At 42.0% G+C, this 20,551-nt stretch overlaps 1 protein-coding gene across 1 annotated transcript in view, besides 1 other annotated feature; it reads right to left on the bottom strand.

Moving 5' to 3' along the window:
* Nucleotides 1-20,551, bottom strand: part of SCCPDH (saccharopine dehydrogenase (putative)) — a 43,729-nt gene that overhangs the window by 21,971 nt on the left and 1,207 nt on the right. Inside the window, exons 2-5 of the mRNA NM_016002.3 lie at nt 19,163-19,275; nt 10,112-10,192; nt 5,866-5,995; nt 2,042-2,091 (exon numbers count right to left, since the gene is read on the bottom strand). Coding sequence (NP_057086.2) covers nt 2,042-2,091; nt 5,866-5,995; nt 10,112-10,192; nt 19,163-19,275 — 374 coding nt within the window. The remainder of the gene's footprint in view (nt 1-2,041; nt 2,092-5,865; nt 5,996-10,111; nt 10,193-19,162; nt 19,276-20,551) is intronic.
* Nucleotides 16,474-16,674: a silencer, noted in NCBI's record as "peak819 fragment used in MPRA reporter construct". NCBI's record gives its function as "represses an SCP1 promoter by STARR-seq MPRAs in K562 erythroleukemia cells {active_cell/tissue: K562}" and the evidence as "EXISTENCE:reporter gene assay evidence [ECO:0000049][PMID:32103011]".

The following is a 20,551-nucleotide window of genomic DNA, read 5'->3' as shown; positions in this document are numbered from 1 at the left end:
TGCTGAAGCTCCAGCCAAATAAAGCCCTTCCTTCTTTTTTTTTTTTTTTTTTTTTTTTTGAGATGGAGTCTCGCTCTGTCGCCCAGGCTGGAGTGCAGCGGTGCGATCTTGGCTCACTGCAAACTCTGCCTCCCGGGTTCACGCCACTCTCCTGCCTCAGCCTCCTGAGTAGCTGGGACTACAGGTGCCTGCCACCACGCCCAGCTAATTTTTTGTATTTTTAGTAGAGACGGGGTTTCACCGTGTTAGCCAGGATGGTCTCGATCTCCTGACCTCGTGATCTGCCCGCCTCGGCCTCCCAAAGTGCTGGGATTACAGGCGTGAGCCACCATGCCCGGCCAGCCCTTCCTTCTTTAACTCGGTGTCTGAGGGGTTTTGTCTGTGGCTTGTCCTACTACACTTATACTCTACTAAAGAGTCTGTGTAACCACAAATTTTAGCATATTTTACATACCTCTTTACGTTAATCTGAACCCACAATCGAGATGAAGAAAGTACTTCCTCTTATTAAACACGTTCCATCCCACCCCATCTTTGTCTTTGATACACTATTTCCTCTTCCTTCACATCTCCACAGCACCAGCCCTTGAAATTCAGCTATATCCCAGCTTCTCCAGAAAGTTCATGATCTCTGGACTCTTAGTTAGATGTATTCGCCATTCTTAGAATCCTACAGTATTTCATCTGATCTCTTTAATAACAAACATTTTTTTCTTTCCTGCCAAACTAAATTATTACACTTTAAAGGTAGGGTTTGCATCTTATTCATTTACATGTCATTTTCTCTTGCACAGTTACTATATGCATTTGCACCACTATACAATATTTGTTGAATGAATATAATTTAGAACAAATACTTCTGAAGCCACAGTGCAGACCTAGAACTGGGTTAGGCACTATCAGCATAAAAGTATTGTCATAAAACATGGTCCTTTCCCAGAAATGCAACTGTCTTACGTTCCCAACGTCAATGTCTTACGTTCCCAACGTCAATGTCTTACGTTCCCAAATGCACTGTAGATTCAGTAAGACTAGATTCACCTCATACACCTCTGTTTGGTCACAGCAGTACCTAAGTTAGGCGCATGATAAAACTATGCTGACTTGCACTAAGGTGAAAATTTTCCTGGCCAACAACATTTACTGTGCACCAGTGATAAATGCTTTAGTGTTGAGATCATGATAATTCATTCTAATACAATGAACTGTGCAGTTGTTTTTAAAAGAAATTATATTTTAGGGGCCGGGTGCAGTGGCTCACGCCTATAATCCCAGCACTTTGGGAGGCCAAGGTGGGCAGATCACTTGAGGCCAGGAATTCGAGACCAGCCTGGCCAACATGGCAAAATACCAACTCTACTGAAAAAGAAAAAAAAAAACAAAAATTAGCCAGGTGTGGCGGCACATGCCTGTAATCCCAGGTACTCAGGCGGCTAAGGCAGGAGAACCACTTAAATCCGGGAGGCAGAGATTGAGTGAGCCAAGATCACACCACTGCACTCCAGTCTGGGCAACAGAGTGAGACTCTGTCTCAAAAAAATAAAATAGCCAGGCATGGTGGCTTACACCTGTAATCCCAGCACTTTGGGAGGCTGAGGTGGGCGGATCACCTGAGGTCAGGAGTTCGAGACCAGCCTGACCAACATGGAGAAACCCCGTCTCTACTAAAAATACAAAAAAAATAGCCGGGCGTGGTGGTACATGCCTGTAATCCCAGCTACTTGGGAGGCTGAGGCAGGAGAATCGCTTGAACCCACGAGGCAGAGGTTGCAGTGAGCCGAGATCATGCCATTGCACTCCAGCCTGGGCGACAAGAGCGTAACTCCATCTCAAAAATAAATAAATAAATAAAATAAAATAAAATAAAAAGAAAATAAAGTATATTTCAAGTCAAAGTAATCTTGGCAATGTATCTTTTTAAAAATTAAACATGGTGACTTTCACACATTAAAAATTATACATACCTAAAAGACACATGTATCATTTCCAAAATATTTTTAATATTAACTTGAAACAACACAAGACAAACCAAAAAACCAACCTCAGGTCCTGAATGTATAGTCAGGAAACTTTCCACAGCAGTCAAAGTACCTAAAAGAGTAGGAGAATGGTAAAAAGCAAAATAAAATAACATCTAAATTATTTGGGGTAAGTAATAATAAACAATGCGTATTCACTTAGGGACTAGCTTTTCTAAGCCTACAGCTGACACAGAAAATTTGTACAGACAACAGTTTTATTATGTTTTTGTACACAGACTTACGAAGTAGCTATGGCCAGGTAAACCATCAGAAAGAGTAGTCTAGCATAAACTCTATCTCTATTAGGTCTAAGGATTGGAACACTGAATATTTTGAAGATATTCAATTCACATTTCACTGTGACAAAATCTTTTCTAGTATTTAAAAACTGATGACAGTAAGAATCTCCCCCAATAAAGCAACAATTGAGCTCACCCGAATTCTGGGAGGCTCTTTAGGACACAATTACCAAATAGATCTATGAGGCTGGGCATGGTGGCTCATGCCTATAATCCCAGCATTTTGGGAGGTCAAGGTAGGAGGGTCACTTTCTTTTTTTTTTTTGAGACAGAGTCTGTCTCCCAGGCTGAAGTGCAGTGCAGTGGCGTGATCTCGGCTCACTGCAACCTCCACCTCCTGGGATCAAGCGATTCTCATGCCTCAGCCTCCCAAGTAGCTGGGATTACAGGCGCGTACCACCATGCCCGGCTAATTTTTGTATTTTTAGTAGAGATGGGGTTTCACCATATTGGCCAGGATGGTCTAGATTTCCTGACCTTGTGATCTGCCCACCTCGGCTTCTGAAAGTGCTGGGATTTCAGGCGTGAGCCACCATGCCCGGCCCCCAATTTTTTTAAAAAAATTAGCCAGCTGCAGTGGCATGTATCTGTAGTCCTAGGGACTACTACTACCACCCTACTAGGGAAGCTGGGGTAAGAGGACTGCTTGAGCCCAGGAGTTCAAGGCTGCAGTGAGCCATGATCACGCCACTGCACTCCAGCCTAGGTGACAGAAAAACACCTTGTCAAAAGAAGGAAGAAGTTAGATCCATGGGAATTATTCTGCTTTAAAATATGACAGCTTTCAAAAGGCTTATTAACAGTGGCTTACAATGAATGTACACAAAAACTATCAAAACACCCTCTGTGATAGCATATAAAACACTCAAAACAAGACTACTAAAATGAAATAAAAAGAAGTATAAAATAAAAATTGGAAACCAAGCCAGGAAAAAGGGGACATCAAGTATATTACCCATGAAGACTAATATACAGGCATAGTGGTTAAGTATTTAATTATTGAGTTTCTCAAGAACATTGAGGCAAAAGAAAAATATAATGGGCTGGCTAATTCTCAAAATCTGATAAATGAAATATATTCATTCCTTAAGAGACAATGTTCCTGGTTTTAATTCTAAGAGAAAATTAAAACATGGGGCCTTACAAAGTTGACACCAAGCAAAATAATAAATAACCACGTCATCAACAAAGCTGTTGCAGCAGAAGAGAACTACAGCCAGATAAATGTCGTTAGTCTGACCACAGACAAAAATAAAAAGCAGATCATTAACGTATAACTCACTAGAGCGATTCTGATGGTTACTAAAAGAATGTGGCCTGGGTGTGCGGCTCTGTGATCTAACCCGATCCGCAGAAGAACACAGAACACCTAAAGCGGTAATCCAATAAAAGTGGACCACCTGCATCAACAATCAGCTGGGGTGCTTGCTAAAATGCTGACTTCTAGGTGTCAGGATCTGAAAAAAATTTTAAACAAACCTTAAACTAATATTTCTCCCTTATGAAGGAAAAAAAGGCTTATTCAAAATAAAAGCAGAGAACAACCTCAAGAAACAGGATTATCATGAAGAAAACTTCTAAACTTCACAGACGTTAAAGCATTATTTTAAGAAATGGAGACATATTAGGTCTAAGGATTGGAACACTGAATATTTTGTAGATGTTCAATTCACATTTCACTTTTTAATTGGAATGGTTCTAGTGTTTCACCATTCATTAAGTATGATACAGCTACTGCCTTCTGACATTCATTCATTCGTTCATTCATTCATTCATTCATTTGAGACGGAGTCTCCATCGCCCAGGCTGGAGTGCAACAGCGCGATCTCAGCTCACTGCAACCTCCGCCTCCGGGGTTCAAGCGATTCTCCTGCCTCAGCCTCCCGAGTAGCTGGGATTACAGTTGCACATCACCACGACCAGCTAATTTTTTTGTATTTTTAGTAGAGACAAGGTTTCACCATGTTGGCCAGGCTGGTCTCAAACTCCTGACCTCAGGTGATCCACCTGCCTTGGCCTCCCAAAGTGCTGGGATTACAGGCGTGAGCCACCGTGCCCAGCCCTGACATTTATTATGTAGGAAACTATTCTATTCCTAAAAATGTAAAATCAGTAAATGGTGTGAATTCTCAATTTTCAAATCATTTTTTGAGATGGGCATATAGCTGTTCACCTCTGATATAATTGCATAACTTCCTAATGCTAAACCTTGGTCTCAATATATTGTTCTTCTAAAATGCCACTGGATGAGCTGCGCATGGTGGCTCACGTCTGTAATCCCAGCACTCTGCGAGGCCAAGGTGGGAGGATCACCTGAGGCCAGGAGTTCAAGACCAAACTGGGCAACATAGTGAGAACTCATCTCTACAAAAATTTTATAAAATTAGTTGAGTATGGTGGCATAAGCCTGCAGTCCTAGCTACTTAGGAGGTTGTGGAGGGAGCACTGCCTGAGCCCAGGCATTCGTTACGGTGAGCTACGGCAGAGCAAGATCCTGTCTCTTAAAAAACTTTTTAAAATGGCACTGGATTAAAATTTTATATAGTATTTTCTTTTTACTTTTAATTTCATAAGCAAGATTTGTAGTTTGTGTGTGTGTGTGCTATCTTTGTTGGACTTTGGTTTCATAGTTATGCTAACTTTTTAATATATGCTGGAACATTTTCCAATTTTTTAAGTCTAGAACACTTTATATGGTACTGAAGTTACCTGTTTCAGTTTTGTTTTTTGTTTTTGTTTTTTTGTTTTTTTGCTTTTTTCTAAGAGACAAGGTCTCACTCTGTAACCCAGGCTAGAGTGCAGTGGTGCAATCATAGCTTACTAAAGCCTCAAACTCCTGGGTTCAAGTGATCCTCCTACCTCAGCCTCCTGAGGAGCTGGGACTGACTACAGGTGTGCACCACCACACCTGGCTAATTTTTTTTTATTTCTTAGGGACGAGTCTTACTATGTTGCCCAGGCTGGTCCTGAACTCTTGGCCTCGAGAGATCCTGCTGCCTCAACCTCCCAAGTAGCTAAGATTATGGGTGTAAGCCACCACACCCTGCTCAGGTAATTTTCTAAACCAGACACTCTTAAATATGCAAAACATCAGTAACTTCAAATGTTTTATCGTAACATTATTTTCTCCATTCTTAAATAAGTGTCTCCAATTCTGTGTTCAATACTTTCTAGCTTTGACGGTTAAAAATTTAAAACCTTTTAACTATAATATACAAATTATGCTTTAAAATGTGCTGATTCCTAAACAAAGCAAGTTTGAATTTATAACGTTGCCAAAGTTGTTTTCCAGAAATTTTACAGCCCAAACTATACTGAGACAATAATATATCACTGTAAAATACAGTATTATCCATGTCTCAACAATAGTCTCAATAGCATTTTATTAAAAGTGCAGCTATATTAAAAACAAAACATGTGTTTAATATTACCCATTTATGGCTATGTTTCTTTTTTCAACTAGATTTTAGTTCACCACAGTTAGAAACATGAAGCCTTTGCACGGTACTGTTAAATTCCATTATTGCTTATTGATCAATAATTACCATTCATTTTATTTCTGGTATATATTACTCCCAGATCTGCTGGAATGGAGTCAAAGCCGCTGCTTCCAATGATATAAACCCCTTTGTCTGCAGCTTTCTCATGATACTTCAGTTGCATTAGTTCCAGAAACTAAAAAATCCAGGATAAGAATTTTAATTAGTTATGCAGAAAGATGTAGACCAGTATTAAATAATTTATCTTTAAAAACAAAGCAACCAAACTTTGAAAATGCTAAGCAGTGTGGCTCTGCAGCAAAACATTAACTGTCAAAATATTTTCCACTTATTCGGCAAATACAGCGCCTACTGCACACCAGGTGGTACAGAAGTTGTGCTCGTCTGACTGTATGACACTTAATTTTTTTAGAATGACTTTTAAATATAAAAGTAATGCCTATTATAAAATATTAAAATATAAAAAATAGAAAGCAAAAAAAAAATGACCCCAAACAGCATTACCCAGATGAACATCATCACAGACATAAAGCTCCGCACACGTACAGACAGAGAGCAGGAAAGTAGATGGTGGCAGAGGGCACAGGGGAATAATGTCTGCTCTGCTCTTCTGCCTGTTTTTAGAAATTCCTTTTTAAAAACAGTTTAAGATTTACAGAAAAATTGAATAGTAGAGAGTTCCCAAGTACTCTGAAACCCAGTTTTCTCTATTTTTAACATCTTTTACATGAACAGTGGTTACAATTAATGAACCAGTACTGACATATATGATTTAATTCACTAAAGTTCACAGTTCATTCTGATTCCCTTAGTTTTAACTGAACCCCTTTTTCTGCTCCAGGATCCCATCCAGGATTACATTCGGTTGTTACGTCTCCTTCGGCTTCTTTTGGCTGCGACGGTTTCTCACACTTTCCTTGTCTCTGATGACCTTGATGGTTTTGAGGAGTACTGGTCAGGCATTTTGTAGAGTGCCCCTCTACTGGAATTTGTCTCATGCTTTTCTCATTATTATTATGAGTTTTGGAAAGAGACCACAGGGGTAAAGTGCTATTCTTATCATATCATATCACATCGGGGCTACGCACTGTCAACATGATTTACCAGGGTTAATGCTGACTTGAACACCTGGCTGAGGCAGTGTTCACCAGGTTTCTCCACTGTCAATTTATGCTCCCTCTCCCAGAAGGTGACACACAAACACAATCACACCTGTTCAAGCACATACCAGACACAAACACACACCACACACACCCATTCATGCACATACACAAACACACACGAACACAATCACACACACACACTTGCTCATGCACACACAAACACATTAAGTCACACTAACATAGTCACACACATACAAACACATTAACACACTCAGTCACACACACAGCTGCTTGCACATAAATGTGGAGAAGCTACATAAATCATTTGGAATTCTTCCACAAAGAAGATTTGTCTCTTCTCATCCCTGCCTTTTTGGTTTTGTTTTGTTTTGAGACGGAGTCTCGCACTGTTGCCCGGGCTGGAGTGCGATGGTGCAGACTCGGCTCACTGCAACCTCCACCTCGCGGGTTCAAGCGATTCTGCTGCCTCAGCTTCCCGAGTAGCTGGGTTTACAGCACCTGCCACCACGCCCAGCTAATTTTCTATTTTTAGTGGAGACAGGGTTTCTCCATGTTGGTCAGGCTGGTCTCAAACTCCTGACCTCAGGTGATCCACGTGCCTCGGCCTCCCAAAGTGCTAGGATTACATCCCCTGCCCATTTTTAAAATAAATTGTCTTTATTTCTATTATTGTCTTGTAAAAGTTCTTTAAATACTCTGGGTTTTTTTTTTTTGAGACGGAGTCCCACTCTGTCGCCAGGCTGGAGTGCAGTGGCATGATCTTGGCTCATTGCAACCTCCGACTCCCAGGTTCAAGCGATTCTCTTGCCTCAGCCTCCCAAGTAGCTGGGACTACAGGCGTGCACCACCACGCCCAGCTAACTTTTGTATTTTTAATAGAGATGGGGTTTCACCATGTTGGCCAAGATGGTCTCGATCTCTTGACCTCGTGATCCGCCTGCCTCGGCCTCCCAAAGCACTGGGATTACAGGTGTGAGCCACCGCACCCAGCCCTCTGGTTCTTTAATAGGTTTGTTGTTGTTGTTTTGAGACAGGATCCGACCCTGTTGCCCAGGCTGGAGTGCAGTGGCGCAATCTTGGCTTACTGCAACCTCCAACTCCTGGGTTCAAGTGATTCTCATGCCTCAGCCTTCTGAGTAGCTGGGATTGCAGACGTGCACCACCATGCTTGGCTGATTTTTGTATTTTTAGTAGAGATGGGGTTTCGCCATGTTGGCCAGGCTGGCCTCAAACTCCTGGCCTCAAGTGATCCACCCACTTTGGCTTCCCAGAGTGCTGAGATTACAGGTATGAGCCAACGTGCCCAACTCCTTATTAGGTTTTGATATTATGGCTGGGCGTGGTGGCTCATGCCTGTAATCCCAGCATTCTGGGAGGCCGATGCAGGTGGATCACTTGAGGCCAGGAGTTCAAGACCAAGCTGGCCAACACGGTGAAACCCTGTCACTACTAAAAATACAAAAATTAGTCAGGTGTGGTGGTGTGCACCTGTACCCCCAGCTACTCAGGAGGTTGAGGCAGGAGAATCGCTTGAACCCAGGTGGCAGAGGTTACAGTGAGCCAAGATCGTAGCACTGCACTCCAGCCTGGGTGAGAGAGAGAGACCCTGTATCAAAAAAAAAGGGGGGGGTTCGATACTACTTTTATGATAGTTTCTAGATGACTTAAAAGCTTTTCACCATTTTCTATGTTCTGGGTTATTTAAAATAACATGGGAATTGTTTTTTGTTTTTGTTTTTTGGAGACAGGGTCTCACTATGTTGCCCAGGCTGGAGTGCAGTGGCATGATCATAGCTCATTGCAGCCTTGACCTCCCAGGCTCAAGTGATATTCCTGTCTCATTCTCCTGAGTAGGTGGGACCACAGGTGTGTGCTACCAACTCCTGGCTAATTTGTTAACTCACCAGCTCAAGTCATCCTCCCACCTAGCCTCCCAAAGTGCTGGGGTAACAGGCGTGAGCCACCTCGCCTGGGCTTTTTTTTTTTTTTAATTTGTTTCCTCCTTTTTGAATCAATTTTTGTAATTTACACTGTCTCAGTATTTTCCAGTATTTTACCAATTGATAAACTGCAAATGCATATTAATATCATATTGGCATGCTGATGATGATAATCAGTAGTTACTACAGAGACACATGAGGTTACCATTTTAAAGGCTGTAGTAGAGCTTAATGCCTGTTAACACATAACTTCCTGTGGTCAGGCAAACCTCAATTGAAGACCTAGTTCTTCTACTTACTAGGTGCATTACTAGGTGCATTACTAGGTGCATTACTGAGTGAGTTACTTAAGCTTCCTAAGCTTTAATTTCCTCATCTACAAAAAATGGAGGAAGATAACTACCCTATAGGTATATTTTTAAAAAGTTACATAAAACACTTAGCACAATGTTGGGCATATGGTAAGCATTCAATAAATGTGAACATTTAAAATGTTTAGGTTGATTTTACACTAGTGAATTTTACCTTTATTTTTCTGTAATGTTATAAAGGTAACTGAATTTTCTTTTTTTTTTTGAGACAGAGTCTCGCTCTCGCTCTGTGGCGCAGGCTGGAGTGCAGTGGAGTGATCTCGGCTCACTGCAAGCTCCACCTCCTAGGTTCACCCCATTCTCCCACCTCAGCCTCCCAAGAAGCTGGGATGACAGGTGCCCGCCACCATGCCCGGCTCACTTTTTGTATTTTTAGTAGACATGGGGTTTCACCGTGTTGGCCAGGATGGTCTCGATCTCCTGACCTCATGATCTGCCCGCCTTGGCCTCCCAAAGTGCTGGGAGTGCAGGTGTGAGCCACCGTGCCCGGCCTAAAGGTACCTGATTTTTAAAAGGGAATTCAAAATGAAAACATGACAGAATTGAGATTCTAAGAATTATGCACAGTCCGCTATTTTAATTGATTCAGTTTAAAGCATGAAGTAGCTATAATAAGCACAGACCTATAAGAAATGATGTTGTAGGGAGGGAAAAAATTCAGAAAACTGAAGCTAAGACCTTACCATCAGCGCTCTCCTTTGAGCTATCAATGGAATACCACACGAATACCATATCTGAATGCTAGAAAGGAGTTGTCGGCTTCTAAATATGTCTGCAAAATTACACTAAATATTTCCACTTCATTAAACCGAAATTTATGTGTTAATTCTACGTTTTTCCTTTTTATTTTTTATACCTGAGGTTCTCCACTGATGTCGATACAACTGGCTCCATTTTCAATACATGCTTTTATTACAGGTTCTCCATAAAACCGATACTAGGGAAACAAAAAGAACAAAGAGGTTATTCTTGCTTGACAAGTTTAAATGAATAAAATGCCATCTAATCCTGGAAGTAAACAGTCCTAGTTATCAAGAAATCAACTGTTAATAAAATAGCCTAAAGATAAATTCAGAAAGTGGCCAGGCACAGTGGCTCACACCTGTAATCCCAGAACTTTGGGAGGCCGAGGCAGGTAGATCACTTGAGGTCAGGAGTTCAAGACCAGCCTGGCCAACATGGTGAAACCCCATCTCGACTAAAAATACAAAAATTAGCCGGGCGTGGTGGCACACACCTGTAATCCCAGCTACTCGGGAGGCTGAGGCAGGAGAATGGTTTGAACCTGGAAGGTGGAGATTACAGTGAGCCAAGATCGTGCCACTGCACTCCAGCCTGGGCGACAGAGTGAGACTCCGTCTCAGAAACAAAAAGATAAACTGAGAAGATACCTGCACAATACCATCTCTCACAGTGTGAATAAATAAAGGCATGATGGAATTACAGAGCAATGTATGCTTACCTCTACCTGAAGACAAAAGGAAAAGTTTCATACAAGTGATTCCCTTGAGTTGAACCCTAAAGAACAAATAAAAATTTTCCAGGAAAAAGAAAAATCCAGATACAGGAAAAAGTAAATGCAGAGGTTAAGAAAAAGGAGCTGTTCCTGTTGCTTGAAGCAGGAATCAAATTCACTTGAGTAGGAAGTAGAAAGAGATGGGTCTGAAAAGGCAGGCTACGGCCACATCAGGAAGGACCACATGTGCCATGCTAACAAGTTTCAACTTTATCCTTTCTAGTTTACTTGGCTTTCCAGAAGAATTTTAAACAGGATAGTGGTATAAGACTTATAGCACAGACGATATACTAAAGATGAGACATACAATACTAAAAAGGTGGAAATGACTGGATTTCCTGACTAGCTGGGCTGGACATGGGGGCCAAGAACCAGTGGTATTATTGGTCAAAATTAAAAACAAACCAACAGGAAGAAGAGAGTTTGCAAAGGATAAGTTTGATACTGAACAGAGCAGATATTCTGAGCCTGTATGATATTAGATTTCCCATATTATCTGTTATTCAAACTCAAGGAATTAAAATACAAATTTTCATATGTAAAAGCTAATACATCAGAATTCAGTCCCATTTCCAAAGAAGCATGACAAATCTTTTCCTTTGTGAAGAAGTAGATTAGAAGCACAAACTCCTCTGCTTTATTCATTCCTGGCAGCAAAAGATGGAACAAGGAAATCGTTTCTTTCTTCCAGCCTTTGAGGAACAAGGGACACTTAAAAGACACAATCGACCTTTACAAATAGGTCAGATGGGCTGCCCTCTTACCTAACTCCAAGACCTCACACCTCTTACTAAGAATGGCGGATAACACTGGAATTACAGGACTGGGAGAAGTGTGTGAAATTCGAGTTCCTACCCTCCCATTAACAAACCACATGAAATTAATGAAGAACTCTACTTCTGAGGCAGTATGGTATCATGGAACAAAGGATTTCAAGGCAGTAAGACCCAAGTTCACACCTGGAATCCATCACCTACTAACTATATGAATTTACTTATAAATCACTTAAATTGCCTACCAAATGAATAAAACACACATTTTAAACATATTTAAATAGAACTAAAGTTGAGATTAAAACAGAAGTTGAAGCTCCATATGCTTTCTGCACCCAGTGGATTATCCTGGTTGATCCTTAGGGTTTGCACACATCCATTTTAAAACTCATTTGGAGCTTTCTCGGCCTTGTTCTTAAGTTATTTCACCCCCAAATTTCTCAAGTTGGCCATGAGTCCACCTGCTTTAGAATCACCTGGGTTGCATGCTGGTCACTCACTCCCACTCCAGACCCCCAGAATCAGGCTTTCTGAGGTAGACTCCAGTAACTTGCATTGTAAATAAGCCTCACAGGTGATTCTTGTGTACTTCAAAGATGGAGAATCACTGCCCCAGACATTCTCCCAGGAAATCTCACCTACTCTCCCAACTTCAATAAAATCTGTGCTGTGACCTCCAACCTCTATGTCTAGAGTTGCTCACTGATAGGATTTCCCTCTGTTTTTTGTTAGAAAGGTCAGGACCAGTGAGAGCACAGGACATGTAGCATGAGTCACACATAAAACTAATTTCACTTTGCCTACATTTTCCTTTTATTTTCTCTTCCCCCTGATTTTCTCACTTACTTATAAAACATCATATACAAACAGTATATTATTTGTATTTTCTGTCTTGATGCAAGGTATCTAGCAGACACCTCAATTTCAACAAGTCTAAAACCGAATTCATCATCTCTCTCTCTAAACCTATTTCTCCTCCTCCACTTCCTAGCACGTGCTTCAATGTGTAGCCTCTAGGCCAGGTGTGGTGGCTCAAACCTGTAATCTCAGCACTTTGGGAGGCTGAGGCAGAAGGATCGCTTTGAGACCCCATTTCTCTAAGAAAAAAAGTGTGTGTGTGTGTGTGTGTGTATAAAATATGATGCTACGGACTATATATAGAGGCCATATACTTATTATATATATATATTATACATATAAGGACTATATATATATGGCATATATATATAAACACATGGCCAGGCACAGTGGCTCACGTCTGTAATCCCAACACTTTGGGAGGCCAAGGTGAGTGAATCACTTGAGCTCAAGAGCTAGAGACCAGCCTGGGCAACAGGGCAAAACCCTGTCTCTACAAAAAATACAAAAATTAGCCAGATGTGATAGCACCAGTCTATAGTCCCAGCTACTTTCAGGGCTGAGGCTGGAAGATCCCTTGAGCCCAGGAGGTTGAGGCAGCAGTGAGCTGTGTTCGTGCCACTCTACTCCAGCCTGGGCAACAAAGTGAGACCCCCATCTCAAAAAAATAAAAATAAAAAACAAAGTATAGCCTCTAGTTCAGCCTGCCTGGGTCCCACTTCTAACATCTTTCTGTTGTGCTCAAAAGAGGGAAGACTCTGAGACAAAACTGAGCAAATGGCTGAACAGCAGAGTGGTCTAGAGTGTGGGCTTTAAGTCAGGCCACACTTACATCCAGGCTCTGCAGCCACTAGCTGTGTGACCCTGGGCAAGTCACTTTACCTCTCTAAGCATCAACCTCTTCAATCAAAGAATGGTGATGAATAACAACACTCACTTCCCTGGGTAGTTGTGAGGATGAAATAAGAGAATACAAAGAGCTTAGTGTGGGGCCAGGCACATGGTACTCAGATGGCTTCTTTTTTTTATTTAATGGCATTACTCCCCACATAATTCTCAGGTTAAAACCTGGAAGCAGGCTGGGTGTGGTGGCTCATGCCTGTAATCCCAGCACTTTGGGAGGCCGAGGCAGGTGGATCACCTGAGGTCAGGAGTTCAAGACTAGCCTGACCAATTTGGTAAAACCCTGTCTCGACTAAAAATATAAAAATTAGCTAGGTGTGGCGGCATGAGCCTGTAGTTCCAGCTACTCAGGAGGCTGAGACAGGAGAATTGCTTGAACCCGGGAGGTGGAGGTTGCAGTGAGCCTAGATCGCACCACTGCATTTCCGCCTGGGTGACAGAGCAAGAACCGCCTCAAAAAAAAAAAAATCTGGAAGCAGTCTTTCATGCTACCTATCCTGGAAGTCACCAAGTTTTATCAATTCAGTTTCCTAAAATTATCTCAAATCAGTCTCCTCTCCCCTGCACAATTATATCTTAGTTCAGACCCTGTCAACACTCATCTAATTTACTATAAATAGGCCCTAACTGGTTATACTGCAGCCAGCTAGCCCCATCTCCAAATACATAACAAATTGTTATTCTAAAATAAAAATGTGATGTCACCTTTCCTCCTGCCTCACTCCTATAACATATCCACTCTTCAAATCTGATAGACTGGATTAAGAAAACGTGGCACATATACACCATGGAATACTATACAGGCATAAAAAAGGATGAGTTCATGTCCTTTGCAGGGACATGGATGAAGCTGGAAACCATCATTCTGAGCAAACTATCACAAGGACAGAAAACCAAATACCGCATGATCTCACTCACAGGTGGGAACTGAACAATGAGAACACTTGGACACAGGGTGGGGAACATCATACACTGGGGCCTGTCGTGGGGTGGGGGGCAGGGGTAGGGATAGCATTGAGAGAAATACCTAATGTAAATGACGGGTTGATGGGTGCAGCAGGCCAGCATGGCACATGTATACCTATGTAACGAGCCTGCATGTTGTGCACATGTACCCTAGAACTTAAATAAAAATAACAAAAACAAAAAAATCCCTACAGTATATAGTACAAAGTCCAAATTTCTTAGCATGTCACAGAAAGTCCTTAGTATCATATCATACCACAGCCCCTTAATTCTCATGTTCCAGCAGTTCTAAATTCCATGTAATTCCCCAAGCATGCTGCTTCTTCACACCCAGTGTGCTTGCTTCCACTACCTGGAGCACCCTCCCTTCATTCTGCTGGGCCAACTCCCAGCTCCTCCAGGCTCTGCCTTACAGCCACAGGCTCACTTCTCATGTCTGGCTAGTGAGCCCATCAGCTAGGCAGTGTATCTATGAGTACTGGCAGGCTGCAGTGAAGTATTAATGAGCTTATTAAAATAATCGTAGCTCCTTCTGGAAAGAAAACGCATTTTCCTATTTGCCAGTCTGCCCATTCCTTACTTTTACTGCATTTTGTCACATCTGGCCCACTTCTTTGAGTAATCTGGAGTTGAGACTTCTCACTAACTTATTCCTATTTTATGAACTTGCTAGATTTTTCTCCACTTAGTACCCTGTGCTTGTCTGAGACAGGTGAACAGTCAGAGTAGCAATCCTTCATCTCGGGGAGACACTTCTCCCCTGTGAGGCCAATTGGCTCAAAGGTCAGAACCGCAATCCTGCTCTCCATGTCTCATCTTCTTCTTTTTTCTTTTTGAGCTGGAGTTTCATTCTTGCTGCCCAGGCTTGAATACAATGGCGCAATCTCAGCTCACTGTAACCTCCGCCTCCCGGATTCAAGTGATTCTCTTGCGTCAGCCTCCCGAGTAGCTGCAATTACAAGTGTGTACCACCATGCCCAGCTAATTTTTTGTATTTTTAGTAGAGACAGGGTTTCACCATGTTGGCCAGGCTGGTCTCAAACTCCCGACCTCAAGTGATCTGCCCACCTCAGCCTCCCAGAGGTTTGGGATTCCAGGCATGACCCACCGCGCCTGGCCCTCAAAGTTCCATCTTCTAACCCAGTGGTCTCCCAAGTAGTCTTCCCCTAAGGGAAGCGCAGAATGATCCACTGAGGGTGGAAGTAAATATCAGAACTTTTATCCATGTTAATGTTTACAAAAACATGACGTTCCGTTAACGGTTACTATATGGACTGACTACGAGACATTCCCTGGGCCATGTTAAGTGGTCATGTGTTGAAGACAGGACACAGCAGGTATCCTGATGGGGTTGTGGGAAAGTTTCCATCACACAGAGAGGGCCTCAGCACCACTCTTCATTCATTCAGTCGTTTTCACTTTACTGCAACCTAATGCCTGAATGAGGTTATTGAGGTTCTAAAGCTTAAACGCTGAGGCCTCAAGCATTTAGAGTGGGGAGGACAAAGACGCAGTGGAGGAGACGAGGACTTCCAGGGTGAAGCTGGTGGACAGGAGGAAAACTACGAGAAGATGACAACGTAGAAGCTGAGCAAAGAAAGGAGAAAGTGGTCAGCTGGATCGAATGCTGCAAGCTTTCAGATGAAGACTGGATTTGACAGGGTGGGACTTTAGCAGAGTAGTTTCATTGGAGGAGGGAGGAAAACAAAAGCCCAATAGGAGGCGTTTAAGATAGAGTAGGAGGTGAAGAAGCAGAGATAGTGAGTCATGAGAATTCTTCCAAGGAGGCTGCTAAAAAGGGGGCACAAAAAGTAGAGTAGTTGGAAGGGTATGTGGAATCAAGCAGCTTTTTTTAAAATATGGGAGATATCACATATTTAAATGCTGATTGAAATAATCCAGTAAAGAGGAGAAATTTGATAACAAGATAATGTGTAATTGTAAACATAAAGTGTTACAGGAAGTCAGGGACCCCGAACAGAGGGACCAGCTGAAGCCACGGCAGAAGAACATAAACTGTGAAGATTTCATGGACATTTATTAGTTCCCCAAATTAATACTTTTATAATTTCTTACACCTGTCTTTACTGCAATCTCTGGACATAAATTGTGAAGATTTCATGGACATTTATCACTTCCCCAATCAATACTGTTATAATTTCCTATGCCTGTCTTTAATCTCTTAATCCTGTCATCTTTGTAAGCTGAGGATGTATGTTGCCTCAGGACCCTGTGATGATTGAGTTATCCGTACAAACTGTAAAACATGTGTCTTTGAACAATATGAAATCTGGGCATCCTAAAAAAGGAAGAGGATAACAGCAATTTTCAGGGAACAAGGGAGATAACCATAATGTCTGACTGCCTGCGCGACTGGGCAGAAGAGAGTCATATTTCTCTTCTTGCAGAAAGCGAATAGGAGAAATATCACTGAATTCTTTTCCCAGCAAGGAATAACCCTGGGAAAGGAATGCATTCCCAGGGGGAGGTCTCTAAAATGGCCGCTCTGGGAGTGTCTGTCTTATGCAGTTGAAGATAAGGGATGAAATACACCCTGGTCTCCTGCAGCACCCTCAGGCTTGCTAGGATTAGGAAATTCCAGTCTGGCAAATTCTAGTCAAACTGGTTGTCTGCTCTCGTACCCTGTTTCCTGTTAAGATGTTTATCAATGACAGTGCGTGCCCAGCGGGACATGGAACCTCATCAGTAATTCTAATTTTGCCCTGGCCTTGTGATCTTGCTCTGCCATTTGCATTGTGATACCGTATTGCCTTTTGAAGCATGTGATCTCTGTGACCCACTCCCTATTTGTACACTCCCTCCCCTTTTGAAATCCCTAATAAAAACTTGCTGGTTTTGCAGCTCAAGGGGCACCACGGAACCTGTCAACAAGTGATGTCACCCCCAGAGGCCCAGCTGTAAAATTTCTCTTTGTACTCTTTCTCTTTATTTCTCAGACTGGCTGACACTTAGGGAAAATAGAAAAGAACCTATGTTGAAATACTGGGGGCTGGTTCCCCCGATAATAAAGTCTTTGAAAACTGTGCCCAATAGGAAGAGGACCAGTTTTTCCTTGTAACAAGAGATATGGCAGACTACAGGGTATGATGCAGATTGGCAGACAGGTAGGTAGGTAGATAGATCTGGTGGTAGGAAGATGAAGAAAGAAATTCTGTTATTAACCAGCTTCTATTTTCATAGTTAAAAAAAAAGAAAAATAAAATCAGATAAGAACAAGGAAAGAGAGACGGGATACTAAAAGTTCAAGGAAAACAAGGTTGTGAGCTGCTTCAGAGAGCAGGAGAGAGAATTCCTGAGGGAAATAGAGCAGAGCTGCCGGAGGTGCTAAGCACCACACAACGTTTGTAAACACATATTTGAAGTGTGACCAGTTAGCAGGGGGATACATTTTTCTCCAGCCACACTGTGTTACTCATGTTCAGGTGAAGAGCAGGCAGAGAATAACCAGGGCTGGGATTTTTCCAGAGTACTGAGGAGAAAAAGGCAAGGGAGATAGATGAGGGCGTCCATTATAGAGTGCAGCAGTGGACCTCATGGATGGAATCTAAGCTAGTTAAGAATGAGATGAATCTAAATCAACAACACTTCTATTTAATAGCAATTCAAAAACCCTTTTGCTCTCAATTAAAAATTATTAATATTTTAGATATTTAATTTTTAAACATCTTGCCAACTGTGATGGCTTCTTCAGATCACTAAATGTCACCAACATTCACCTTGTTACACAGGCCAAAAGTCTGATGGCCTGTGACTTGATGACTTTTTCACAGTACAACAGCAAAAGCCGTTCTCCTTTGAAAATATACTCTGGACCTAACTACTTCTCAGCACCACTACGACCCCAGGGCTTGTGCTTGCACCATTCCATTGCTCATCCTTTGTTATCTACTTTTCCACTCAGAAGCCAAAGAACTTCCAATTTAAATCAGCTGAAGCCCTTCCTTTCAACCATTCAACGCCTCTTGGTCACACCTGGAAAAAAAATCCACATCCTGGCCATGGCCCGTAAGATCCCACATGACCCAGCTCCCGGGTTGCTCTCTGATCCACTCTCCACCTCTCTGCCATGCCCAGCCACACTGGCCTCTGTCACACTCTTCAGTCTTGCCAAGCACACTGGCATCTCAGGACCTTTGTGCCTGCTGTCCCTGGAAAAGTCTCTCCTCAAAAGGTTCATGCAATTTGCTCTCATTTCATTCAGATCTTGGCTCAAATGTCAATTCCTCACAGAAACCTTCCCTGACCATCCATCTAAAAACACCAATATGCCAGGACCTTTTCTCCTTTCTTGGCTTCACTTTTCTTCAAAGCACTTTTCATTACCTCCTATTACAATCCTATTTTTCTGTCTTCCCCAAGAACGTAATGTCCACGAGGGATTTTCTGTTTTGTTCACCATTGTGTCCCAGGTGCCTACAATAGTGCATTTCACATGTGGTAAGCATCAATAAATATTTATTCAATAAATGAGTCGTTTTTTAGTCTTCTTTTTGTGCATTTAAAAAATATATTTACCCAGTAGTACAAGAATATAATTTATAAATAAAAAATATACTAGGGAGACACACTCAAACATTTTTTACCGAAGGGGTATATAGTAAAAAGGAAAGAAAATTCTGACAATCACAGATGTAACCAATCAACAAGCCAGCACACATGCCCTAAGGAGAACGTCATGGAGAGCCTGTCACTCACTCTCTCAGGAGACTTTGGTCATCTCCAGCTGCTCCTCGCAAGAAGAAAAAACTCCCCATATGGGGTTAAGGCCTTCAACCAACAATTCTGTCCTCTGTCCTTATGTTCCTCTGGAATATTTTGCTAGAAATGAATGGATTGTTTGTTCTGATACAAAGAAGGGTTGATTACTTACTGGTCCTACGCAATTGAGGACAACTGTTGCCTGTTTAGCCATTTCATCAAGCGAGGCTGGATTAGCAATATCACAGATGATGATTCCAACTTCAGATGACAGTGTTGGTCTTCCTAAAATAAGAAACAAATGAAGGAAAGTAAATCCCAGTAGAGGATTATATCTTCCTTATCTTCTTTTTACAGTAATCAGTGACAGCAAATTACTAAATACACTGATATGCTGAAAGCTAGCTCTCCTGCTTAGACAAAAGATAAAACTGTTTTTAATCAGGTAATACAAAAGGAAAAAATTATGAGGAAAACTGAGTTAACACTAAGAGTTACTAAAAAACTGACCTTTTAAAAAAAATCGAATCAAAGCGTTGTGTAAATAACAACCCTGTGTAACATGACAATTTCACAATCAAGTTTAAATGCTGAGCAGATAACTATCCAGACTTCCTCTCCAACAAGAAATTTATGTCATAAAATAGTTTCTTGGCCAGGGGCAGTGGCTCAGCACTTTGGAAGGTCAAGGTGCAAGGATCTCTTGACCTCAGGAGTTCCAGACCAGCTTGGGCAACATAGCAAGACCTTGTCTCTACTAAAAAAAAAAAAAAAATTATCTGACATGGTGGCATAGCCTGTAGTACCAGCTACTCAGGAGGCTGAGGCGGTAGAATCACTTAGACACAGAGGTCAAGGCTGCAGTGAGCTGTGATCACGCCACTGTACTCCAGCCTGGGTGGCAGAATGAGAACTTGTCTTTAAAAAAATAAAGTTTCTCATCAACCACTAAACAATTACTATGATCCAATTGTAGGTGATGGAGAGTTTCGGACTGACTGTTAACATCAAAACCATCAGGGCTGGGTGCAGTGGCTCACGCCTGTAATCCCAGCACTTTGGAAAGCCGAGAAGGGTGGATCACGAGGTCAGCAGATCGAGACCATCCTCACTAACACGGTGAAACCCCGTCTCTACTAAAAAAATTAGCAGGGCGTGGTGGCGGGCGCCTCTAGTCCCAGCTACTCAGGAGGCTGAGGCAGGAGAATGGCAAACAAACAAACAAAAAACAAAAAATTAGAACTCTGAGGTGAAAAGCACACGCTATATAAACACACACAGGCTCATAAGAAAATAATTGGAATTAACTGGCTCAACTAAGTGATGCAGGTTTCAATAGGTGAAGGTATATCCCCCCACAATGAAACTTGATTTGGGCATTATATATGATAAGTGACTAGGCTGTACCGGTACGATCTTGCTGAGCCGAAAAAAGAAATGGAAGCATATATTTTCATAGTAAAATTACTTCTGTTGGAAAAATAACGACCAAAAAGCTCTTTGGTCAGAATTACGTGTTGGTAGTGTCAGCACCAAAAGCTGTAGGAGAGTCCAGCCTACG

This window comes from Homo sapiens, chromosome 1 (genome assembly GCF_000001405.40).
Source record: "Homo sapiens chromosome 1, GRCh38.p14 Primary Assembly".
NCBI classification, from domain to species: Eukaryota; Metazoa; Chordata; class Mammalia; order Primates; family Hominidae; genus Homo; species Homo sapiens.
This window is presented reverse-complemented; position numbering and strand designations above follow the sequence as displayed.